This window comes from Homo sapiens, chromosome 8, assembly GCF_000001405.40.
Source record: "Homo sapiens chromosome 8, GRCh38.p14 Primary Assembly".
Taxonomy (NCBI): domain Eukaryota; kingdom Metazoa; phylum Chordata; class Mammalia; order Primates; family Hominidae; genus Homo; species Homo sapiens.
The window spans coordinates 42,406,459-42,433,075 of record NC_000008.11 but is presented as its reverse complement, the minus strand read 5'-3'; the positions used below and the strand labels follow the sequence as shown (position 1 = coordinate 42,433,075).

The following is a 26,617-nucleotide window of genomic DNA, read 5'->3' as shown; positions in this document are numbered from 1 at the left end:
TAAAAAAAAATCATTTGGACCATGAATAGATTATATAGGTGAACCTCAAATACACCAAGTTGAGCTATGCTCAAGACAAAAGTCACCATGTACAGGAACACCTGGGAGACACTGTGGGTTCCATTCCAGACCACTACAATAAAACAAGTTTCACAATACCCATGAAGTTTTTGGTGTCCCAGTACATAGAAAAGTTATGTTTCTGTAATAGTATACCATAGTCTATTAAATGCGTCTTAAAAACAATGTACATACCTTAATTTGAAAATACTTTATTGCTAAAAAATAATGCTAGCAATCCTGTGAACATTCAGCAATTCATTATTTTGCTGATGGAGGGTCTGGGCCTTGATGTTGATGTCTGCTGACTCATCAGGGTGGTGGTGATTAAAGGTTGGGGTGGCTGTGGCCATTTCTTAAATTAAGACAACAATGAAATTTGCCGCATCAATTAACTTCCTTTCACAAAAGATTTCTTTGCAGCATGTAATGCAGTTTGATAACATTTTACCCACCGTAGAATTTCTTTCAAAATTGGAGTCAATCCCCTCACACCCAGCCTCTGCTCTGATAACTGAGTTTGTGGAATATTCTAAATCCTTTGTTGTCATCTCAACAATGTTCACAACATCTTCACCAGGAGTAGATTTCATCTCAAGAAACTTTCTTTGCTCATCCATAAGAAGCACCTCCTCATCTTTTCAAGTTCTTTCATGAGATTGCAGTAGTTCAGTCACATCGCCAGACTCCACTTCTAGTTCTCTTGCTGTTTCCACCACATCTGCAGTGGCTTCCTTCATTTAAGTTTTGAATCCCTCAAAGTCATCTGTGAGAGTTGGAATCAGCTTCTTCCAAACTCCTGTTAATGTTGGTATTTGCACTTCCTCCCATGAATCACGAATGTTCTAATGGCATCTGGAATGGGGGATCCTTTCCAGAAGGTTTCAATGGACTCCCTAGACCCATCAGAGGAATCACTATCTATGGCAGCTCTAGCCCTACAAAGTGTATTTCTTAAGTAATAAGACTTGAAAGTCAAACTGCTCTTTGATCCATGGGCTGCAGAACAGATGCTGTGTTTGCAGACAGGAAAACAACATTCATCTCCTTGCATATCTCCGTCAGAGCTCTCTGGTGACCAAGTGCATTGTCAATGAGCAGTAATATTTTGAAATATTAATATTTTTTTCTGAGCAGTAGGTCTCAACAGTAGGCTTAAAATATTCAGTAAACCATGCTGTAAACAGATGTGCTTTGTTGTTCCATTTCTAGAGCACAGGCAGAGTAGATTTAGCATCATTCCTAAGAGCAATAGGAGTTTTGGAATGGTAAGTGAACATTGGCTTCAACTAAAGTTACCAGCTGCATTAGCCTCTGAGAAGAGAGTCAGCCTGTCCTTTGAAGCTTTGAAGCCAGGCATTGCCTTCTCTCTGGCTATGGAAGTCCTAGCTGGCATCTTCTACCAATAGAAGACTGTTCTTCTACATTGAAAATCTATTGTTAGTGTAGCCACCTTCATCAGTGATCTTAGATGGATCTTCTGGAGAACTCGCTGCAGCTTCTCCATCAGCACTTGCTACTTCACCTTGCACTTTTATGCTATGAGGATGGCTTCTTTCCTTAAACCTCCAGAACCAACCTCTGCTAGCTTCCAGCTTTTCTTTAGCTTCCTGACTTCTCTCAGCCTTCACAGAATTGAAGAGAACTAGGGCCTTGCTCTGGATTAGGCTTTGACTTAAGGGAATGTTGTGGCTGGTTTGATCTTCTATCCAGACCACTCAAACTGTCTCCATATCAGCACTAAGGCTGTTTTGCTTTCTTATTATTCATGTGTTCATTGAAGTAGCACTTTAAATTTCCTTCAAGAAGCTTTCCCTTTGCATTCAGAGCTTGGCTAACTGTTTGGCCCAAGAGGCCTAGTTTTTGGCCTGTCTCCGATTTTGACATGCCTTCCTCACTAAGCTTAATCATTTCCAGTTTTTTATTTAAACTGAGAGACATGCAACTCTTCCTTTCAGTTGAACACTTAGAGGGCACTGTACGGTAATTTATTGGCTTAATTTCAATATAGCAATATCTCAGGAAATAGGCTGGAGGAGAGGGAGAGAGACAAGGCAGTGGCCGGTCAGTGGAGCAGGGAGAACACACACAGCATTTATCAGTGAAGCTCACCGTCTCATATGGGAACAGTTCATGGCACCCCAAAACAATTATAATAGTAACATAAAAGATCACTGATCACAGATCACCATAACAGATATGATAATAATGAAAAATTCGGGAATACTGTGAGAATTACCAAAATGTGACACAGAGACATGACGTGAGCACATACTGCTGGAAAGTCGCTCCAGCGGACTTGCTTGGTGTGGGGGTGCCACAAACCTCAAATTCATAAAAAACATCCTATCTGAAGGCCAGGTACAGTGGCTCATGCCTGTAATCCCAACACTTTGGGAAGCCAAGGTGGGCAGATCACAAGGTCAGGGGTTCGAGACCAGCCTGGCCAACATGGTGAAACCCCATCTCTACTAAAAATACAAAAATTAGCTGGGTGTGGTGGCCCGCGGCTGTAGTCTCAATTACTCAGGAGGCTGAGGCAGGAGAATCGCTTGAACCGGAGAGGTGGAGGTTGCAGTGAGCCGAGATCACACCACTGCACTCAAGCCTGGGCAACAGAGCAAGACTCTGTCTCAAAAAAAAAGAAAGAAAAACATCATATCTGTGGAGTGTGATAAAGTGAAGCACAATAAAACAAAGTCACCTGTATCATGTACATTGCCGCTTGCATATATAGTTAATCTTTTCTCTTTTTATTTTTCCCAGTAATGCCATCGGTCCCCTGGTAGCCTTGTGGCTGATTTACAAACAAGGCGGGGTAACGCAAGAAGCAGCTACACCCGTCTGGCTGCTGTTTTATGGAGGAGTTGGAATCTGCACAGGCCTCTGGGTCTGGGGGAGAAGAGTGATCCAGACCATGGGGAAGGACCTCACTCCCATCACGCCGTCCAGGTAAGCCTGGGCTGGTGGACGAGCAGGGCAGGTCTTGTCATCCGAGGCCTGGGTAGAGCTTCCCGGCTGTGTCTGAACGGCCTGCTCAGCACTGGCAGTTGGCAGCGGGTCACAGGGAGGAGGAGACAGTGGGCAAGAATGGCCCCACCTAGCATGCCACCTATCCTTGCCCTCCCTTACTGTGCCCGGCCCCCAGCCACAGCGTCCCTGAGATGAGGAGTGGGAAGGGCAGACAAGCAGGGGTAGTGGAGCAGAGCAGGCAGGGAAGAGAGGAGAAGCTCACCCTCAGCCAGCACGGGGGCCAAAGGCAGGTGGGCAGGGAGGGCACAGACTTAAACAGGCCCCTGGGCTGGCCTTTCCTGAAAGTTCTCTGGCCACCCCAGCTCTCAGCAACCACCCTGCTGGGGTTACTTTCCTCTTGCTCTGCCAGACAGGGAGGCGCCCCCTGCCATTGTGGGTGAGCTCTGGAGGCTTTAAATGTGGTCTCTCAACCGCATAGCCTTCAGCTGCATCAGGGGTTAAAGGAACTTCCAGAACTTTCAGAATATGACCAAAATTTGGAGCCACCTGTGGTAGGAAATCTCTGTCTTTTTAAAACATGTGGGAAGTTTCCTTTTCCTACAGGCTCTGGGAGTTTCAGGAAGTGATCCAAAGGCAGCTGGGGTGGGGAGGACCGGAACCCAGGTTTCATCACGCAGCTCTGCCCCGCATCTGCAGAGAAAGCTAAAATAGCTCCAGTGAGCCTCCTATATACACACAGACTTAAAATTTCTAGTTTTAAGTTCTCACTTGAAATTCATTTCAATAAAAGATAGTTTAGAAGATTGATTTGAAGAAAAATTCGTAATCCGAGAAAAATACACTCTTTTGTAATTAGTGCACATTTTTAAAATGAGAGCATAGTTTTTCCTTTGCGTTTTAGAAATGACTGATTTACTATCTTATTGCACAGCAGGAATGTCTGGCCCAGTTACTGCAGTGTGTGGTCTTTGAAAACGTATCAGAAGGCCAGGCTGCTGAGGGCCCATGCACAGGAAAATGCAGCCTTGGTGGGAATTGCTGTTGTTGAGCAGCGGCCTCTTGTTCTGTTAAAATTGATCTTGCCCAGTCAGCAGTCGGCAGTCACCCCAGAGAATGTTCTGGTGAGCCTCTAGCACCCACGGGGTGTCAGGGAGGCTGATACAGAGGGCACCTGTGACGTGTCTCATGCTCCCCCCACAGCGGCTTCACGATCGAGCTGGCCTCAGCCTTCACAGTGGTGATCGCCTCCAACATCGGGCTTCCAGTCAGCACCACGCACTGTAAGGTAGGCCCCTGCTAGCCGGGAGCCCTTCCCCAGGCCGCTGGGACAGGTCCAGGGCCACCGGAGCGCATGCAAGGGAAGCTGTAGGGCTCTGTAGATGGTTGTGCAAAATGCAGCTCCAGGTTCTCCAGGTCTCCGGGACCTTGTATTCCTCCATCTGTTCCCTCCACCGTCCTCCTCTCGGCAGGACGACACTATCTCTCGTTCAGACCTGGCTTTTCCAAGGCAGAATGCCAGGGCTGGCCTGCCTGGGACTGGCCTGCTATCCTCCCACTGTTTCCACAGTGGAGTTTGATTGGCATCCTGTGTGCGCTGGGCATACCTGTGGGCTCACTTGGGAGCCTGCCACTTGGTCCAGCCAATGAGGGGACTGGGGGTTGACAGTGTTAGAAATTAACACAAATCATCTCTGGAATTGTAGGACACAGTTGTTTCTGGTTTTGTTCCTTATATGATGTTCAAAGTGACTATATTGCCATAAATTCCCCACGAGGGGTAATTGCTGATACTGACCACTGCGGAGTGCTCTGAAACCTGCAGCTGGACAAGAGAGGGCTCCTGGTCATGGTGTGGAAAGTTGGAGCTGCAGGGAGGAGCCCTGAAGACCAGTGAAGAGGAAATGGGTTCCGGGAGTTTCAGGGAGTGATCCACAGGTGGCCAGGGTGGGGAGGACCAGAACCCAGGTGGGGAGGACCAGAGCCCCGGTCTCATCACCCAACTCTGCCCAGTATCTGCAGATACTTCTAAAATAGCTCAGGTGAGCCTCTGTATACAGACAAACTCACCAGTCTCAACAAAGCGAAAGTCACTTTGAGATTTTTCCTAGGTTCATTCATTTGTATTATTCAAGAAAAACTAATTGGTGTTTGCTGCTTGGGAGCAGAGCTCTCAGCACCAGGAGGAATATATGAGCCCTCAAAACAGACACAGCCACCCACGTTTCTATTTACTCACAATTTTAAGATTCCAGCCAGTATGTTTAAAAGACAACGCCAAGCAAAGGCAAGTGGCTTCATGCTTCAAACACCCAGGTCAGGTGGCCCTCACAAGAGTATCTGGAGTGGCCCAGCAGCGTGTTTCAAAGCTGGGGCTCCACGCATGAAGAATCAGCCTCAGTGGAAAGAGTTTGTTTTTTCCTTTTTTGCTACCATATACAGAAATACTTCAATTTCCACAAAGTTTCTGTATACAAATCCCCCCACTTACTGATCATCAGGAGAGTGCTGGGTACCGTGCTCAACACCACACGCATGGCACACCGTTCCCTCTCCACAGCAAGCCTGTGGGGGCGGAACTGTCACTCCCAGTCCACAGGTGAGGAGACTGGGTTCCCTCAGAGTTGAGCCGCTTCCCACATGCACACAGCCACATGTGATAGATCCAGGATTCAGATCTTCACCTCAGGCCACACACCTTCTCGTTCAGGTCCCCATCAGCACCATTGTGGTGCCCGACCATGGCCAAGGTGCCTGGGGCAAGCACTCCACTGGTGGTCTCCCCAAGAAGCTTCCCCAGCTTCATAGATGAGGAAACTGAGGCAGAGGAAAGTTAAGTAACGTGCCCGAGATTACACAGCCAGGGAGCAGCCCAGCTGAGGCTCCCACATGGACGGCATGGCCAGCGTCCTCCTCCCCGGCTCCGCCTGGCAAGCATGGGGAAGGAAGGCAGGAAGAGGTGCAGGTGTGCCCGCCACCCATTCATTGTGAGTTTCCTAATGTGGGTTATTTAAAACTTACCAGAGAAGCACATATTCACTGAAATATTTCAAACAATACAAGACTATAAGGAATGAAAAGTGACATCTTCTCTGGACTCCACATCACTTCCATTCACTGTGGTGTGTGGAGCGTGGAGGAGACGCGTGTCACTAAATACATTCTTTTCCAAGGACACGGGCTTATGACTTTTCTATAGGCATCAGTTGTCTTTTGGAATGCTTTTAAACAGATGTAATGCCATCTTTTTAATGATTAACCTACACTAAAGCAAGACTGCTGAAGGCAGACTCTTCTACACCAGTTGAAATAGCTTTTTTTTGTTTTGTTTTGTTTTGTTTTGTTTTGTTTTTGAGATGGAGTCTCACTCTCATCCAGGCTGGAGTGCGGTGGCATGGTCCCAGCTCACCGCAGCCTCTGCCTCCTGAGTTCAAGCAGTTCTCCTGCCTCAGCCTCCGGGTAGCTGAGATTACAGGCATGCACCACCACACCCAGCTAATTTTTGTATTTTTAGTAGAGACATGGCTTCACCATGTTGGCAAGGCTGGTCTCGAACTCCTGACCTCAGGTGATCTGCCTGCCTCAGCCTCCCAAAGTGCTGGGATTACAGGCGTGAGCCACCGTGCCTGGCCTGAAAGAGCTTTTGAAAAAACAGCACAGGTTTGGTTCTTCCAGGTTGGTGCTACTTAGCTAACTGTATGAGCAGTCTAATCCGTTTGTATGTATACTGTATACAGTGTTGGAATGGACAGTACTGATTTTGCTAATAACACTAAACTCTAGAATACAGTTTATAGGAATAGATGAAAAGTATAAAATGCTTATTTAAAAAGCCAAACTCTTGAATTATCTATATGCATGATTTCCCCAATACTGTATTGATATATATACTATAATGATGTGTGACTAAGAGATTTACATCCAGTTTGTACAGGACCTTAGTGAATAGATGTATATGTTATCATTATCCTAAAATACCTGTACAAAGTACATGATAAGGTTTTTTTTTTGAGATGGAGTCTCGCTCTGTCACCCAGGCTGGAGTGCAGTGGCGCCATCTCCACTCACTGCAAGCTCCGCCTCCTGGGTTCATGCCATTCTCCTGCCTCAGCTTCCTGAGTAGCTGGGACTACAGGTGCCCACCACCAGCTACTTTTTTATATTTTTAGTAGAGACGGGGTTTCACCGTGTTAGCCAGGATGGTCTCGATCTCCTGACCTCGTGATCCGCCCGCCTCAGCCTCCCAAAGTGCTGGGATTACAGACATGAGCCACCGTGCCCAGCCAGTTTTGTTTCCTTTGAGCTGGTGATGAGTAGTATTAGGATAGCTTCTTGGCACTTAAAGCAGGTCTCCCTGAATGGGACTGCAGCAGGGTGCCATCTATAAAATTGACAAGACAGGTCACAACTTGGATTTGAGTAAGTTTGTCCGATATCATTGATCGTGGACTTCTGGACAAAGCCTAGAGCTATTCCCTGTGAGCACTAAGGACAGAGTCTCAGCTCTCAGGAACTTGCCGTGTAGTTGGAGAGCAGATGGCTCTCATCAGAGTCCAAATAATAGAAGTGCTGAGAAGAGCTCACAGTTGTCATTACCCCATAACACTTATTCTCTCATATCACATATTTCCCCTGCACACAACAGTCCCCAAATGGCAAACGTGGGATGAACTATGAGAGCTGTGGGATGGCGTGAAGAATGGGGCCCTCTGTAAGTGAGACTGTGAATCTGGAAACATTGAAAGGGTATTGATGTCCACATAGAGTCATAGTTGAATTGCATCAGTTTTCAGGATAATTATCCTGTGTTTGATTTTTAAGTTTCATGCTTAGAGCCATCTAATAGAAAGTAGGGAGAAGTTGGGGACTTGGCAGGAAATAAGATGGAAACTATTGTTTAAAATGAGGTTTTTAATGTATCTAGGTAGATGTTATTGATTTATGCTTCCTTCTAAGTGTACATGGCTAAGTGCATAGATTTGTTTTGTTTTGTTTTGTTTGAGACAGAGTCTTGCTTTGTGGCCCAGGCTGGAGTGCAGTGGCTTGATCTTGGCTCACTGCGACCTCCGCCTCCTGGGTTCAAGCAGTTTTCCTGCCTCAGCCTCCTGAGTAGCTGAGATTACAGGCATGCACCACCATGGTTGGCTAATTTTTGTATTTTTAGTAGAAATGGGGTTTCTCCATGTTAGCCAGGCTGGTCTTGAACTCCTGACCTCAAGTGGTCTGCCTGCCTCGGCCTCCCAAAGTGCTGGAATTACAGGCATGAGCCAGTGCGCCCGGCCTAAGTGCATAGTTTCAATTTTGTCGTAGCCTATTTCAAAACATTTATGAAACCATACTATATTATGTGATATATGAACTGAAGGTATAACTTGGGAAAAAACAATTAGGAAAGTCCTGTTATCACATTTTATTCCAGAAGGCATATATAAGGCAGTCTGTTTGATGAGTTACACCCTCTGTATGTATTCTGGTTTTATATATTTTGTATTTCATATCAGAGGACTCAGTTTATCAGATATTTTCCTGGAATAATACCTTTGAGTAGGGTCAAAAGCCTTAATTGGCCAGGTACGGTGGCTCATGCCTATAATCCTAGCTACTCGGGAGGCTGAGGCCGGAGAATCGCTTGAACCCGGGAGGCGGAGGTTGTGGTGAGTGGAGATTGCACCATTGCACTTCAGCCTGGGCAACAAGAGCAAAACTATCCCCCCCCGCACCCCCCAAAAAAAGCCTTAATTGAAGACACAGAAACCGGTTTTGAAAATAAAAGAATCCTCAGATGTTATGTTTCAGCAATTCGTTCATCATTCTTCCCTTCTGTGACCCTTAATCACGTTTGGTCTTTAGCCCTAGCAGATAACACACAGTGCCACTACTGAGCACAGTTGCTCATGTGTGTGCTCTTTAATAGGAATTTGGAAGTCATATTCTGCAGAATGTTTTAATTCCATACTGGGTGGATTGAGATTATTCCTGTTTGTGGATCACCCACATTGTCAGTCCTCACTGATGACATAGATGATGATTCAACCACCATTTCAATTTGGAACAGCATACAGGGAACACTACTGATTTCAAATGTAGGATTATAATTTCTAATTTAATTTCTAATTCTTGTTCTCTGGTCCCCCTTCTTCTCAACAATTTTTTGCTATAAGTACCTGATGATGGCCTTAAACTGGAAACACACTCGATTTATTAAAAGGGAAGTTAGAACACAGCAAAAAAATAACATTTTACATTCACGGAAGACATGATCAGTAGCAAAGACATAGTACTCTGGATCTTTTATGAATCAAATAACATGTAACTAAATACATAAAATTGTTAAGAACTCAGAAATTACTGTCTTAGCGTATGATAAATGAAGTATAGAAAAAGTATGTGGGAATATGAAGAATTTGAACGTTTATTTAGAACAGCATAATTAATAAATATGTACAAGTTTTTACGCTACTGATCATATGCCTTCCTGTCAAGCATCGTGAAACATTTATAAAAATCCTAAAATCAGAAGACCATGATAAAAATCTCTATAAAATTTTAAAAACAGACCTGACATGGTGGCTCACACCTGTAATCCCAGCACTTTGGGAGGCAGAGGTAGGAGGATCGCTTGAGCCCAGAAGTTTGAAACCAGCCTGGGGCAACATAGTGAGACCCTGTCTCTATTTTATAAAAGTTAAAATTTAAATTAAAAAAAAAAAAAGTTTAAAGATAAGTTGTGCTAACCATGATCTCTAATTACAATAAAATTAAACTAGAAATTAATTATATATTGAAATAAGAATGTATCCCAATGGAGACTTTTTAATGCTTTTTTAAGGTAACAATTGAATTAAGGAGTTTAGAAAAATACAAGGATAGCTTTCTTGGAAAATAATAAAAACCAAATGTGTGTGTCTGTGGGTGGATACAAACAGCAAAACCTGTGGCAACCAAGTTATGCTAAGATGAAAATTCATATCTTTAAATGGTTTAATTGATCAAAGGGAAAATAAAATAACCAAGTATTAAAATTAGGATTTTGTAAAAAGTCCAGGACAGTAAGAATTGAGGAAACAGGTTGTAAGAAATATAGAAGCAAAATTAATTTAAAACAAAATAAGAAGGGGAGAGGAAAGTGGCTACTAACAAAATGTCAGATCACATCAAGGAAAAGAGGGAGGGGAAGGAGGAAGACATTGTAACAACAGAGAAGAGAACTGTTTCCATTATTAAATAAGCCACACAGCTATATGCTAAGAATTTGAAAACCCATGTGAATTATTTTCTGCAACAATATACGTGACAAAGAAATATTGGCCTAAGAAGTAGAAAAAAGTGGAAAATCTGACCCAGAACAATAGGATGAAATTAAGGGAGTTCTCCAAAAATAATTGTTCCCACCTAAAAAAGCAAAAAGGGGCTAGGGGTGGGGCGGGTGAGGATACTGCTGACTAGAGGAATTCATTAGAATCTTTTCCATTTAAACAAAAAAAAACCCAGCTCTCACACGATCTCAACTTTCCCACAATGTAGGAAGAAAAACAAAACTAAAAAACCTCTCCCATTTGTGCTATGGCGTACACTGAATAACCCTAATACCAAACCTAATTTAAAATATCACAAACAATGAAATCTGTTTACCGATGAATATTGATTGTAAAAACTTTAAGCAAGATGCTGAAAAATGACATCAACAATATTTGGCTGGGCATGGTGGCTCGTGCCTGTAATCCCAGCACTTTGGGAGGCTGAGGTGGGCAGATCATCTGAGGTCAGGAGTTCGAGACCAGCCTGGCCAACATGGCAAAACCCCGTCTCTACTAAAAATATAAAAATTAGGCAAGTGTGGTGGTGGGTGCCTGTAATCCCAGCTACTAGGGAGGCTGAGGCAGGAGAATCGCTTGAACCCAGGAGGTGGAGGTTGCAGTGAGCTGAGATTGTGCCACTGCACTCCAGCCTGGGCGACAGAGCAAGACTCTATCTCAAAACAAAACAATACTATACAAGAACCTTTCAGCAGGACCAAATTGATCAAGATTACCAGAAAGTGGGCTCCCTTCGTGACAGGGCAGGACTGCATCACCCACCACCAGCAGGCTGTGCAGGGCAAGGTCCTCGCAGGGGCTCAAGTTGGGTATATAGGCAGCTTCAGTATAATATGCCTTAGCAATCCACTTAAAAAAAAAAAGATCTCTGTTGAGATATAAGCCAAAAAGACATTTGATGATATTCAGTATTTCTTTTTTTTTGAGACGGAGTTTCACTCGTTACCCAGGCTGGAGTGCCATAATGGCATGATCTCAGCTCACCACAACCTCCACCTCCCGGGTTCAAGCAATTCTCCTGCCTCAGCCTCCCGAGTAGCTGGGATTACAGGTGTGCAGCACCACACCCAGCTAATTTTGTATTTTTAGTAGAGACGGGGTTTCTCCATGTTGGTCAGGCTGGTCTCGAACTCCTGACCTCAGGTGATCTGCCCGCCTCGGCCTCCCAAAGTGCTGGGATTACAGGCATGAGCCACCGCACCCGGCCGATATTCAGTATTTCTAAAACACTACTAGAGTTCGTAAGAGTGACCAAGTCCAAGGTAAAAATAGAAAAATCCAGCACTTGTTCATCAGCAATAGCCAATTAGAAAATGTAACGGGAGGGAAAAAAACTGCCACCATAATTGCAGCAAAAATAAAAGTTATCTCAGAATAATCCTAATAAGCACTGTGAGTGTCATCAGGCACATGGTGTGTTCTTATAGTCCCAGCTACTCAGGAGGCTGAAGGTACGAGGACAGCCTGAACCCAGGAGTTCAAGACCAGTCTAGGCAACATAGTAAGACCCCATCTCTAAACAACTAAATAAATAATTTTTTAAAAAAGAAATGTGAGTGATATATATGGAAGAGGCACAAAACTGCTCAGAGGTATAAAAAGATAATCTGAATATGAGACGTAATGTGCTATTGGATGGGAAAACCAGATGTTGTAATGAAGTCACTTCTCCCTAAATACAACCTGAACAGGATTTTACTTGGAATTTTACAAAACGAGACTAAAGAATACATTTTGGTGAAATAAATTATCAGCAATATAAAATGATCTAACAAGAAAACTGAAAGGAGGAACTAGCCTTACCTGACGTATAATGTCATATAAGGAAACAAAAGTCAAGAGTAGGTCCTGGGAGGAGGGGCTAGAACTGGGTGTTAGTGTTTTATGGGGCAGTTTCCCCGTGGGATGATGAAAAAGTTCTGGAGACAGATTGTGGTGATGGTTTGCAAAACAATGTGATTGTACTTAATGCCTCTAAATGGTATGCTGAAAAATTACTAAAACTGTAAGTTTTATGTTATGTATATCTTACCACAATAATTTTTAAAAGTAGATACCTGGATAAGAACAGAGTAGATAGCAATGGATGGAACCTGTTCTATATGAGCATGTATTTTGAAAAAGGGAAAATTTAACCAGTAAGTGTTTGAAAGGTTGAATAGCTGACTGTCAGTCTAGAAAAACAAAATTAGACCACTCTCAAAATACATGAACATAAATCTGATGGCTTAAATAATATTTTAAAAATATTCTTAAATTTAGAGTAAAATGGAATTTTATTTTAGAAAAATAAAATGGAATTAAATATTTATCAAATATTCAAGCCAAGGATAAATCACAGAAGAAAATTATAGCATATTTTATTGCATGAAGTTAGAAACTTGAAAGTGAAACAAAGCAAAATACTACCTTAAGAAAATGTGTATTCGATATCACAGAGTTAATATTATTCAGTGAAGACTACACATAAATAAATAAGGAACACATTAGATTTTAGTATGTAAATGGACAAAATACATGAAGAGACAATTTTTTTTTTTTTTTGAGACGGAGTTTTACTCTGTCACCCAGGCTGGAGTGCAGTGGTGCCATCTCGGCTCACTGCAACCTCCACCTCCCCAGTTCAAGCGATTCTCCTGCCTCAGCCACCCAAGTAGCTGGGACTACAGGTGTGCACCACCACGCCTAGCTAATTTTTTGTATTTTTAGTAGAGATGGGGTTTCACCCTGTTAGCCAGCATGGTCTTGATCTCCTGACCTTGTATCCGCCCGCCTTGGCCTCCCAAAGTGCTGGGATTACAAGCATGAGCCACTGCACCTGGCCGACAATTTGTATATGTGAAAGCTAGAGAGAGTGAAATTCAGTAAATATATTTTTTAAAGTTCAGCCTTAATTGTAATTAAAGATACGCAAATTAAAACAGCAACAGTGCATCTTTTTGTCGGTTAATTAGCCAAAAAAAGAGCAACTTACATGATATCATGTGCTGATATTCACAGATTATGGATGACACTACATTAACAGCTATTTATAAAACTATTTGTCATTATGTATTAAGGTCCTAAAACACGTTGGGAGAGGAAAGAGCTCTTCCTTGAAGTAGAACTCCATGTGAGAAATTGCAATGGACTTTGGTAAATCACCATTTTATTTTATTTATTTTTTATTTTATTTTTTTTTGAGACTGAGTCTCATTCTGTTGTCCAGGCTGGAGTGCAGTATCGCGATCTTGGCTCACTGCAACCTCCACCTCCCAGGTTCAAGTGAGTAGCTGGGATTCCAGGTATGCACCACCACACCTGGCTAATTTTTTTTATTTTTAGTAGAGACAGGGTTTCACCATGTTGGTCAGGCTGGTCTCGAACTCCTGACCTCAGGTGATCCACCCGCCTCGGCCTCCTGAAGTGCTGAGATTACAGGCGTGAGCCACCATGCCCGGCCTGGTAAATCACCATTTTATAGCCATCGTCATAAACATTGGATTGTGAAATCTTTAGCAGAAGGGGAAAGTGAGGTTTGATAAGATGCAGGATATTTTAATCATATTAAAAAGTCTCTTCACAGATTGTGGCAAATGTCAAAAAATAGTGAATTGGGTAAAGAGAAAACAGGAGTTCTTGCAGCTTTTCTCTAAGTTTTGAATTATTTCAAGATACATTTTAAATGTTCCCTGTTAACTACAGTCGATTTCAGGGAATTTTTTTTTTTTTTTTTTTTTTTGAGACAGAGTCTCTCTCTGTCGCCCAGGTTGGAGTGCAGTGGCATGATCTCCGCTCACTGCAAGCTCAATGCAAGCTCCGCCTCCCAGGTTCACGCCATTCTCCCGCCTCAGCCTCCCAAGTAGCTGGGACTACAGGCGCCTGCCACCACGCCTGGCTAATTTTTGGTATTCTTAGTAGAGACGGGGTTTCACCGTGTTAGCCAGGATGGTCTCCATCTCCTGACCTCGTGATCCGCCCACCTCAGCCTCCCAAAGTGCTGGGATTACAGGCGGAAGCCACCGCGCACGGCCGGGAATATTATTTTTAAAGCCAAAATCCAACCTGGGCACAGTGGCTCACGCCTGTAATCCCAGCACTTTGGGAGGCTGAGGCGGGCCGATCACTTGAGGCCAGGAGTTTGAGACCAGCCTGACCAACATGGCGAAACCCCATCTCTACTAAAAAATATGAAAATTAGCTGGATGTGGTGGTGCTTGCCTGTAATCCCACCTACTCAGGAGGCTGAGACAGGAGAATCGCTTGAACCTGGGAGACATAGCTTGCAGTGAGCTGAGATTGCACCACTGTACTCCAGCACTTTGGGAGGCCAAGGAGGGAGGGTCACTTGAGGTGAGGAGTTCCACATCAGCGTGGCCAACATGGTGAAACCCCGTCTCTACTAAAAATATGAAAATTAGCCAAGGGTGATGGCATGCGCCTGTAATCTCAGCTGCTCAGGAGGCTGAGGCAGGAGAATTGCTTGAACCTGGGAGATGGAGGTTGCAGTAAGCTGAGATCACACCACTGCACTCCAGCCTGGGTGAAGAGTGAGACTGTCTCAAAACAACTATATAAAACAACTATATAAAGAGCTATATGCTGAAGAGAAGAATCCCCAAACAATTCTACCTAAAATCTAAGCTATTTTAAAAGCTTTAACAAATGTAGGGGACTGGGTAATGTTGTACTAGAGCTTGTTTCTGAGATTAGCCCATGTACATTGGTAGAGTGTAGCCTTTGTGGCTCACCTGTTTTTACTTTGCAATGTCTGCTCCCACAGGTGGGCTCGGTGGTGGCCGTGGGCTGGATCCGCTCCCGCAAGGCTGTGGACTGGCGCCTCTTTCGGAACATCTTCGTGGCCTGGTTCGTGACCGTCCCTGTGGCTGGGCTGTTCAGCGCTGCTGTCATGGCTCTTCTCATGTATGGGATCCTTCCATATGTGTGATTTGTCTTCTTCCAGCTGCAAACAGCTAAAGGGATGGTCTGGTGTTGGCGTGTGGGAGACATGTGTGCTCGTGCCGCACATACACATCCTGGCCGTGCACGGCTCTCTCATGACCAGCTCTCTGCCTCCCTTCCAGGAGGCTCCATCCCACACTGTTCACCCAGGCTGCGGAGACTCACCTTCCCGAGCTAACTTAACTACTGTACATAATAATATGTATTAAACTGGTATCGTGGTGATATAATGTGGTGCAGTTACTTATATATTAAATATCTATTGTATCCATAGAATAGGCAGCATTATTTCAAACATATTCAAGTTGGGAGTGGAGATCATTGCCTAGAAGTCAATATTCAATAAATCTTGTACATAACTATTTCGATGGCAAATGTTAAGCCTTCTAAAAGGAAAGTGTAGATTGGAAAATGATTTTTTTTCCAAATGATGTTTTTGCCTTCTAATATACTGTAAGGTAATGAGCTTCAGAACAGGCAACCTGACCCTGCAGAGGTCGCGTGCTGTGGGATGACAGCGGGACGGGAGCTCACAAGTGCTTTCACTGAAGATTTGTTCATATACTGTGTATTGATTGTTGTGTAATATATCATCATTGCTTTTGTAAATACGTAAAACTGTAATTTTTTAATGGTGTGCTTCCCTTATACTTTTTTGATCAGAGAATTTTGGAAAGTACCAAAGAAGCAGGGGAATCATTGGCCAGTGTTACGTTTTCACATTGTCTGTCTCCCACCCTCACTGATCACGCCTGCCCCAGAGCAGTGTGTGGCGGTGACACCGTCACCCAGCATGCGCCACGCCGTGGCTCCCACCAGCAGTGCCACCGCCACCACACCCCAGATCCCACCCACCTTGCAGTGGCCTTTCCTTGTCATCAGAGTAGAGAATGCACAGGTGTTGGTGAGGGCGTGTGGCTGAGCACTACATGTCAAGTCCAGAGTCAGTTTCTATCCCAATTCTCCCTGCAGCCTGAAGAACGGATCCTTGTCTCCAATGTCAGCACAAAGGAGGCTTTTTCTGTGCTTTGACATTCTAGCACTTCAGGGATGAGAGGGAGGGAGAATCCTGGATGCTGGATGGAGTATTTCTCTGAGGCCCACACAAAGCTGGACACCCCCAGGCTCTACTCCATCCCATTGGAGTCTCTTCTTTTTTTGATAGCGGGAGGGAGGAAGTACGACTAATGTTGGAGCCTGAAACTATGGAAATGCTGCTAAAATTTTTATATTGACAAACATTTTCTTGGTACTTCATTGTCATTTTTCATTAATCAACCATATTAAATTTATAATAAAAAATGCCCCTCAGAAGTTTGCCTCTGAAGCCTTTTTCTCAATATTGACAATTTTTCTTTCAGAGTGAGTTTCCACAAAAACCAAAGCTATATAATTTGGCCCTTGTATTTTTCACATACCTTTTTTTGGTTTCCCTTATTTGACTACTGTTACGGGCTTGTACAGAAAACACAGGTGAGCAGGAAAGGGAGGCACGGCGTCCCCGCCCCGCATTCAGAAACCCGCAGTCAGCAGCTCATGGAGCAGTCGGTTGCCATGTTCAGGGCTGAGGACCCAGCAGGGAAGTGCAGGTCTTATCCTTTGCTCAAGCAGCCAAAAACACCCTGGCTTGCATATTCTGGAGCCCCCAGAGGGAAACCCCTTAATCCTCTGTAGCGGTGGTGGCACAAGCTCCGACTCCCTTAGGAGCTGTGAAGGTGACAGATGAGGCAAAGTGGCAGGTGTGAAAAATGCATCTTGTGGCCGGGCACGGTGGCTCACGCCTGTAATCCCAACACTTTGTGAGGCTGAGGTGGGCGGATCATGAGGTCAGAAGATGGAAACCTTCCTGGCCAACATAGTGAAACCCCATCTCTACTAAAATACAAAAAAATTAGCCTGGCGTGGTGGCATGCGCCTGTAGTCCCAGCTACTTGGGAGGCTGAGGCAGGGGAATTGCTTGAACCCGGGAGGCGGAGGTTGCAGTGAGCCAAGATCACGCCACTGCACGCTAGCCTGCCGACAGAGAAAGACTCCATCTCAAAAAAAAAAAAAAAAAAAATGCATCTCCACTAAGAGCCCTGCCCTTTCTGGTGTTTAAAATGGCACCTTCAGCCCTTCATTTCCGCACTTCAAGTAACAGCACAACACAATGCAGGTGAACCTTGTGCAGCCTAAGCAGTCTGCGGGATTCAGGCAGAGACGCTAGCCACCCCTGTCCAGGGAGGAGGGCTGCCACCTGGGAGCCCCGGCCCGGCCCAGCAGGCAGGACAGCAGAGGCAGCATCTTGGGGTGAGAGGGAAACAGGCCACACTCACCACATTGAGCATTCTCGTGACTGAGCACAGGCGCCTCAGTGGCAGTTCTGGGAGAAGCCTCGCCTACCCACACCCCTGCCCGGCCTCACTGTGATCTGACACACAGGGCCACCTGGCCAGCCGATCGCCTGCGAGGGAGGGAAGTCACTTCACCTGGGACCCCTCCCTCTGCAAGGTGGCTCCTGTGGGTGGCTGGGGGTGCTGCAAGCCAAGGGCGGGAAAGCAGAGTGCCCAGGGAGCCAAGCGAGGTGGTTGGGAGGGTTTGGTCAGCTGAGTCCAAGCATGGACCATCTCCAAGCTGGAGGGGACGCTGGCAGAGGCTCCCTGTCTTGGGCCACCAGCCCACAGTTCTACCCAGAGAATCTTTCCTGAGTTCACCAGCTTCTTCCTCTAATAATGCAGAGTCTTCAGACAGAGGGAACCTCACACAGACGGTGTGGGCAGTGCTGCTCACTGCGATTCTTTTCATGGGATCCCTTTACTCCACCTGACAGAACCATGGGGAGGCCTAGAGACGCCTCTTTGCTGCTGTCTGGGCTCCTCTGAGGGGGGAAAATCTGGATGCTGTCAGAGGAGCTTGAGTTCTGAGACAATGGTCTTTTACTTTATTATTGCTTTTCCAAAGGGAATGAATTTTTTTTTTTTTTGAGACAGTCTCTGTAGCCCAAGCTGGAGTACAATGGCGTGATCTCAGCTCACTGCAACCTCTGCCTCCCGTGCTCAAGCGATTCTCGTGCATCAGCCTCCCGAGTAGCTGGGACTACAGGCACCCACCACCACACCCGGCTAATTTTTTTTTGTATTTTTTTGTTTTTGTTTTTGTTTTTTTGAGACGGAGACTCACTCTGTCACCCAGGCTGGAGTGCAATGGCACAATCTCGGCTCACTGCAACATCTCCCACCCAGGTTCAAGCAATTCTCCTGCCTCAGCCTCCTGAGTAGTGGGGACTACAGGTGCCTGCCACCGCACCCGGCTAATTTTTTGTGTGTTTTTAGTAGAGACGGGGGTTTCACCGTCTTGGTCAGGCTGGTCTTGAACTCCTGACCTCATGATCCACCCGCCTCGGCCTCCCAAAGTGCTGGGATTATAGGTGTGAGCCACCACTTCGGGCCAGGAATGAACTTTTGAGCAAATACCTAAACACAATGGATTCATTTTCAACAAGACAATTTTTTAAATAAGCCCTCTCCACCTCGCCTTCTTAAAAGAAGCTGAATTCTTAAGCAGTAGAGATCTCAAGCTGCAGAATAAACATTTAAAATCAGCAAACATTTAAAGTCAGTTCAGGATGACATGTAAAGATCTCTGGCCTCTGGGTTTATTTGATGACAAAGTGAGGTGGTGAAAAGGCCCTCTGTGTAGCTGGCACAGTGAGTTTTGAGGCATCCCAGGACAAGGCTGTTGCTGGACTGTGCTTGCCCGTGGGGGATCACACTTGCCGGTGCCTTGAAGGCTCCTGGAGTCTGGCAGAACCAGGCTCAGAGTTCAGCTCCTGCTTCACTAACCCTGGGCCACTTCCATCGCTCCTATTAGAGCCAGTTTTCTTGTGTACAAAATGGGCCAAGGGACCCTTTCCCGGGAGTGTGAGGAATCAGGGCATCGGCATGAAAAAGGGATCACCCCAGGGCCTGGTACCAAACGGGCTCCTCAGGCAAGCATTTGTCCCTCTCTTGTGGGTGAATCCTTTATTTTTATGGGTGAGTCCCCTCAGGAGGATGGCTCTCAGGAGAGCATTAATGGGATGATGAAGAAAAGGAATAGAAAAGAGACCACAGTTAAACAAAACCACTAGAGACAAGGACGCTAGCAAATCAGTTCCCTGCATGATGGGGGACTGGGGAAACCCATAGAATGTGGTTACATAAGCAGGCAGTGGAGCTCTGCTCTTGGATTAACTGTCACCCTCTTAAATATTTTTATCCTTCATTATATTGAAAAAACAATAGGCCAGCCGCAGTGGCTCACGACTGTAACCCCAGCACTTTGGGAGGCCGAGGCGGGTGGATCACTTGAGGGCAGAAGTTCAAGACCAGCCTGGACAAAATGGTGAAACCCCGTCTCTACTAAAAATACAAAAAAATTAGCCAGATATGGTGGTGCACACCTATAACCCCAGCTACTCCGGAGTCTGAGGCAGGAGAATCGCTTGAACCCAGGAGGCAGAGGTTGCAGTGAGCCGAGATCATGCCATTGCACTCCAGCCTGGGCAACAAGAGCGAAACTCTGTCTCAAAAAAAAAAAAAAAAAAAGCATGACTAATATTATGAAAAAAAAAAGTCACCTACATCCCATAATCCTGCCACCACCCTTCTGAAACATTTTCATTTCCCTTATTTTACTGGATCTTTGAAACACGTGGAGCTGGCCGGCCACTGCAGGCACCAAAGCCCAGAATGAGAAAAAGTTTCGGGGCCAACTCATCCGGGGCCAGGGCAGGCCTCAGGCTTCCTGACCTTATCTGGAGTCTTCCGGTTCAGCAGCGGCCAGGCCCGTCCACAGCTGTGATCTCCATAAAAGGGGACTGTGGGTAGGCCCGGGAGGAAGTTCCAGGAAGGAGCACTGCGAGAGGTGATTAGGAGCTTGGAAAGGAAGCCTAGGAAGAGAGGGTGAGGGCTCATTCCGCCTGTTTTTATAAAGGAAACACGAGAATTCAATATGATCTTAAGTGAAGGGTTTCAGACTCAGTGAGGATGACCATCTGCTCTCCGTGTGGCTAGAACAAAATCTGCTTACACAGCAAAAGGGATTTGGGCCAGAGTAAGATGGAGAATTTCCTTGCTTTTCCCAAGACTTGCCATTTAGAGGTTAAACCTGACCCTAATTAGAGACTGCAATGAGTGGTAGGGAGTGGGGCAAGGAGGTCAAAAGAGGGACTTAAAGGGCTCCAGGCAGAAAGCACGGACGAGGAAGCTGTGGGCATCTCTGTTTGGCAGCAACAACAGCGGCACCTGGTGGGGTCGAGTTTAATTGCAACTATCTCTGGCCTATCAGACTATCTCTGGCCCTTTCAATTGCCAGCAGTGAAGTCACCTCACTGAGTGTTAATTATACCATAATTCAGAGTTGCAAGAAATGCTCAGAAGTGCCAGGAATGGTCTGTGTTTCTTTGGTGGTCACAGGGAACTATGAGCGCCTGCTGAAGGAGAACCTCGGTCCCTAAGCAGAAATCCCCTTGCCTGGGAGGCCCGACCAGGCCCGCTTGTCTGAGGGCTCCTGTTCAGCAATCATCATCCACCAGTGCCTATCACCTGGCACACGACAGCCTGGCCGCTGCTGGAATGAAGACAGAGAGGCCTCCAGCACTCATGGGCAGAGGGGAGACAGGCACGCAGCTGCACCACAACGCTTGCCGCCGAGGCTGTGTTCACTGGAGCTGGGAGAGGTCGGGAGGAATTGTCAGAGCAGAGGCGGCAATGCGGCCGAGACTCCACGTGCGAAGGGCACCCAGCGCACAGTTTCCGCCTGGGGAACGGTGACTTCTGGATGCCTGCAGAATCTCCGAGAAGAGACGTTTGCCAGGCAGCTTGAAATAAAGGTTTGGAGTTCAAGAGGGAGTTCTGCGATGGAGAAATGCTTCGGGAAAGAGCTTCAGGAGGCAGCCGTCCGGGAGGCAGGTGGGAGTGGCAGTTTACGGAGCAGGGCGGGTTATGAGCCCGGTCGGAAGGCGGGCAGAACACGCTCCACTCTCCTAGCGCCAGGCCTGGACGCCCACCCCAGGTGGGCCGCCAGATCCCGGAGAGGGGCAGAGCTGACTGTGCCTACACTGCACGGGAATGCTGAGCCCCGTCCTTAACCTTCCTTCCACGTGACTGGACCCCATTTGGAATCCACTTTTGCTTCCTACCCCCTTTAATCCACTCCGCCAGAGGAAAGGAGTGTATTCGGTAACTACGTTGGGGAAGAAGGAACTGGGCGTATTGGAGTCAGCCCCCCTTGGGAGGCGCCCCCGTCTCCTCCGGGCCACCCAACCTCGGCAGGAGGGGAGGCCTGCCCAGCCCGACATTGCTGGTGACTCACCCTAAGCCACAGCCTCACTGGGCCTTTCTCAGTGGGAAAAGCGACATTCATGGAGGTCCATCCAATGGCACCCTGTCCTAATTTACAATTCGTTTTGTTTTTTAAGAGACGGGGTTCTCATTATGTTGCCCAGGCTGGTCTCGAATCCCTAGGCTTAAGGGCTCCTCTGGCTCCGAAAGTTTTAGGATTCCCGGCGTGAACCACCGCGCGGCCACGATTTGTTCGAAGCTGGGCAAGGCCGGTGGCGCTAGTATCCGACCACCCTTACCTGAGAGGCCGCTGGGGCGCAGAGGAGCCCACGATTAAGGGCGCGCGGGATGTGAAAACGCCCCTCGCGCTAACACACACGCCTGCACCCAGAACCGGGCTGTGGGTTACAGGGGAGGCAGCACCTGAGCGCCAGCACTGGCGTGGTGGGCAAGGGAAAAGGGGGCTTTGCTTCTCAAGGGTAGCCGAGGAAGCGGCATGCGGAAGGCCGGGCTTGGAGTGGGGACCCCGAGCGTTTACCGAGAACGCTCAGGGGGCCGCGCGGCTCCGGCCCCTTCTGAGCTCCCTTCCCAGCCCCTGCGCTAGAAGCTGAGGCTCAGAAAGGTAACAGCGAGCCTCCGAGGACAGGCACAGGAAGCCAGACGAAACCCCAGGACAGCACCGTCCTCCTCTGTCCCTTGAGCAGACCCTCGGCACAGGACGACGGTCAGCTATGCACAGTGACATCCTCCCGGTGACTTGTGGGAAAATCGGTATGTAAAATAGGATGCGTTCCCTTAACATTTGGCTCATGCCCGTAATCCCAGCACTTTGGGAGGCCGAGGCGGGCGGATCACCCGAGGTCAGGAGTTCGAGACCAGCCTGGCCAGCATGGTGAAACCCCCGACCTCTACTAAAAATACAAAAAATTAGCTGGGCGTGGTGGCAGGCACCTGTAATCCCAGCTACTCAGGAGGCTGAGGCAGGAGAATCGCTTGAACCCAGGAGGCTGAGGTTGCAGGGACCGAAATCGTGCAGCCTGGGCGACAGACTGAGACTGAGACTCCGTCTCAAAAAACAAAACAAAAAAAAAAAAAAGAAAGAAAAGAAAAGAAAAGAAAAACCCCATGCTTGTTAGTCTCTTACCACAAGAAACACTCGTCCTCCTGCGTCACCCTCCATCGGGGTAGCCTCGCTAAAGGCGGCGAGCGGAAGCCAGGGCGTCTCGCCTAGGCTGGAACCGTGCTCCACGTGGGATGCCCGCCCGCCCGTGCAGCCGCTGGGCCTCTGCCTCCTCCAAACTGTAACAGTCCTAAGAGCTTTTTCCTGATTACAGAAATAATGCGAAACTTGCTTTAGAAAACTGGAAAAGTATACAGTAAATAAGGATATTTATAATTCCACCTTCCTGAGATAATGAATATTAACATTTTGGAGCATTTTCTTCTATATTTGCATTCACATTTTTAAAAATAAAATATTAATACAAACCTAGAGGCATATATATCCCTTTCATCCACTTCAGGCCATCAATACAAATAACTTCTGCCCAAGGAACAAAGAGGCCTCAGGGTTCCCCTGCTGCCACTTCCTCTCTGTCCCTTATGTGCAGGTGGAACAGTCCTGCCTCTGACACAGAGCCAGGGTCCTGGGCAGCTCATTCATCCCCCACACCCCAGAGGGATGCCTGCAGCCACGGTCAGCCCATGGGACTCCCTCCACCCTCGCGCTACAGGGAAGGGCTTTCCAGTGAGACACAAGGTGAATTGGACTCATACTAAGTTACAGTTCACCCCTTCTCACCCCTTTTCCATTTGTTTTACTTTATCTCTGGTAATGGTGGTTCAACTCACAAAGATAACATCAGAGAAATAAAACTGTCATGTGGTTGGTATCATAGATGTTTTCTGACATACATGCCATCTAGTTCCTACCCAGTTACCCCTAATTTGGGTAAAGGATATTGTCTAGTTAAGATCATCTTTGGGGGGGATACCTTGCACTGACATTTTTCAAAAAGCAAATGTGTCTAGTTGTAAGACAACTCATCTGGAAATGCAGCAAGGAATCTGAACGGGCAAAGGAGAACTGTAAATAACCAGTCAACACAGTTCCATCTCACTGGCCATGGAGGGAAAGCAAAATAAAACAATCATTCTCACCCATAAAACATAAAAACTTCAAACTTAGGTAATAGTCAAAATATTACTGAGGATGGGCCGGGCGCTGTGGCTCACACCTATAATCCCAGCACTTTGGGAGACTGAGGCGGGAGGATCATGAGGTTGGGAGTTCGAGAGCAGCCTGGCCAACATGGTGAAACCCCATATCTACTAAAAATAGAAAAATTAGCCTGGCGTGGTGGCACGCGTCTATAATCCCAGTTACTCAGGAGGCTGAGGCAGAATTGCTTGAACCTGGGAGGCGGAGGTTGCAGTGAGCCAAGATCACCCCATTGCACTCCAGCCTGGGTGACTGGAGCAAGACCCCGTCTCAAAAAATAAATAAAAATTAAAATTAAAAAAAAAAAACCTGAGGATGTGGGGAAATGGACACTCAAACACCACTGGTATAAACAGAAATTGGTAAAAAATTTTTGGAGGGCAAGTCTGTACTACTTAGCAAATGCATATGCCCTACGGCTCAGCAATTTCAATTCTAGAAATCTATCTTACAGAACTACACTGTCCAATATCCAATATAGTAGCCACTGGCCACATGTTATTTAAATTTAATTAAAATTAAATTAAGCCTGGGCAACATGGTGAAACGCAACCTCTACAAAAAAAAATACAAAAATTAGCCAAGTGTGCTGGCATGAGACTGTAGTCCCAGCTACTCAGGAGGCTGAGATGGGAGGATCACCTGAGCCTGGGGAGGTTGAGGCTGCAGTGAGCCATGATCACACCACTGCATTCCAGCCTAGGCAACACAGCAAGACTGTCTCAAAAACTTAATTTAAATTAAAATCTTAGTTCTTCAGTTCCCCTAGTTGCATTTCAACTGCTCCATAGTCCTATGTGGCTAGTGCCTGCCACACAGGAGAGTGCAGAGACAGATCACCTTCATCACCCAGAAAGCTCTGCTGGGCAGTGCTGGCACAGGAACAGTCACAGAAATAGACAAGGGGCCGGGAACGGTGGCACACACCTGTAATCCCAGCACTTTGGGAGGCCAAGGTAGGCAGATTCCTTGAGGTCAGGAGTCCAAGACCAGCCTGGCCAACATGGTGAAACCCCATCTCTACTAAAAAAATTAGCCAGGCATCATGGCAGACGCCTGTAGTCCCAGCTACTCAGGAGGCTGAGGCAGGATAATTGCCTAAACCCAGGAGGCAGAGGTTGCAGAGAGCCAAGATTGTGCCACTGTACTCCAGCCTGGGAGACAGAGCGAGCCTCAATGTCGAAAAAGAGAAAGAAAAAAAAAAAGACAAGGACATTCAATGCAGCACTGTTTATAAAGCAAAAAACTGAATATAAGCAAAAAAGGGGAATAGTTAAATAATGTCACATTTATACTAAAGCATACAAATAACAAAAATATGAAGCAGATGTGAACAAATAGTATACTGCAAAATAAGATATCCTTTTTTTTTTTTTAGATGGAGTCTCACTCTTGTCACCCAGGCTGGAGTGCAATGGCGCAATCTCGGCTCCCTGCCACCTCCGCCTCCTGGGTTCAAGCGATTCTCATGCCTCAGCCTCCTGAGTAGCTGGGATTACAGGCACCCACCACCATGCCCAGCTAATTTTTGTATTTTTAGTAGAGATGGGGTTTCACCATGTGGCCAGGCTTGTCTCGAACTTCTGACCTCAGGTGATCCACCCGCCTCGGCCTCCCAAAGTGCTGGAATTACAGGAGTGAGCCGCTGCGTCCGGCCAAGGTATCCATTTTAACGTTTTGTATATATAAATAGATATTTACATAATACTGAAACATATCTTCAAGGACATATCAAACTGTCAGTGGCAGAAGAAACAGGAATTAGAAGAATGAGAATTTTCACTTTTATTTACTTCTAAATTGAACTTGTTTAGAAACAAATTCAAACAGCAAACTGCATTGCTGTAATTTTTAAAAAGAGATATGCAGGGAAGACCCACTCAGGAGCCCCTCTCTGCAGGAGAGAGCTTTTCTTTCCTTTCTCTTGCCTATTAAACCTTCACTCTTAAACTCACTTCTTGTGTGTCCATGTCCTTGATTTCCTTGGCATGGGACAACGAACCTCGGGTATTTACCCCAGACAACAACGCCACTTCATTTTGGGGTCCCGTCCAGGATTGGAAAGTACATTTATCGGAAAGAATGTTGAAGATAGAACATCCAGATGGTGCTACAGATGGAGCCACGCATGGACACACCTTTCTTCCAAGGACCCTTAAATCAACCCCAGGAGGAGCCTTAACTGCTGTTCCCCACATGACACCCCTCTTCAGCAGGAAGTAGCCAGAAAGAGTCATCATCCAACACCCCCTAACAGCAGTGAGTTACCACTCCTTATAGGGGAAATGATACCGGAGCTAGAAAGAAATTATTTAGGCAGATAGTGAGGGTAAGAGAGTCGTTGGTAAGGTTTCTTTTTAATAAAAAGCAGCCCCCAAATCATTTCTAACAAAAAGCAGCCTGAAGAAAATCAAGCTGCAAGCATAGATAAGCAAGCTGGAAGCTTGCACAGGTGCATGCCAGCAGCTGTGCCAATAGGAAAAGGCTATCTGGGGGCCAGGCATGTTCAACATGGAGGCTCCCTCTTCCTTTTTGTCACATGTGCAGTAAAAAGGCAGGCAACATGGCACCAGCCAGGTAGAGACCCCATCAGCATAATAAAAGATTAGGGTGGGATGGCCAGCTTCTTTGTGCAAACAGCACACCTGGTCCTATCAATCTCTCAGACCCAATGTAAATCAGACACCACCTCCTCAAGCTAGCCTATAAAACCCTGTGCGTTTCATCACAAAACTGAAGACCCACTCAGGAACCCCCTCTCTCTCTGCAAGAGACAGCTTTTCTCTTCTCTCTCACCTATTAAACCT

The 26,617-nt window shown here is 46.4% G+C and overlaps 1 protein-coding gene across 16 annotated transcripts in view, besides 1 other annotated feature; it reads left to right on the top strand.

Annotated features, from left to right (window-relative positions):
* SLC20A2 (solute carrier family 20 member 2) overlaps positions 1–16,601 on the top strand; it is a 125,480-nt gene extending 108,879 nt beyond the window's left edge. For all 16 annotated transcript variants that reach the window (XM_024447237.2, XM_017013748.2, NM_006749.5 and 13 more), the window contains 3 exons: positions 2,827–3,012; positions 4,234–4,318; positions 15,109–16,601. In XM_024447237.2, coding sequence (XP_024303005.1) covers positions 2,827–3,012; positions 4,234–4,318; positions 15,109–15,273 — 436 coding nt within the window. In that variant the 3' untranslated portion in view covers positions 15,274–16,601. The remainder of the gene's footprint in view (positions 1–2,826; positions 3,013–4,233; positions 4,319–15,108) is intronic.
* Positions 19,977–20,166: an enhancer, noted in NCBI's record as "active region_27311". NCBI's record gives its function as "activates an Ori minimal core promoter by ATAC-STARR-seq in GM12878 lymphoblastoid cells {active_cell/tissue: GM12878}" and the evidence as "EXISTENCE:reporter gene assay evidence [ECO:0000049][PMID:35858748]".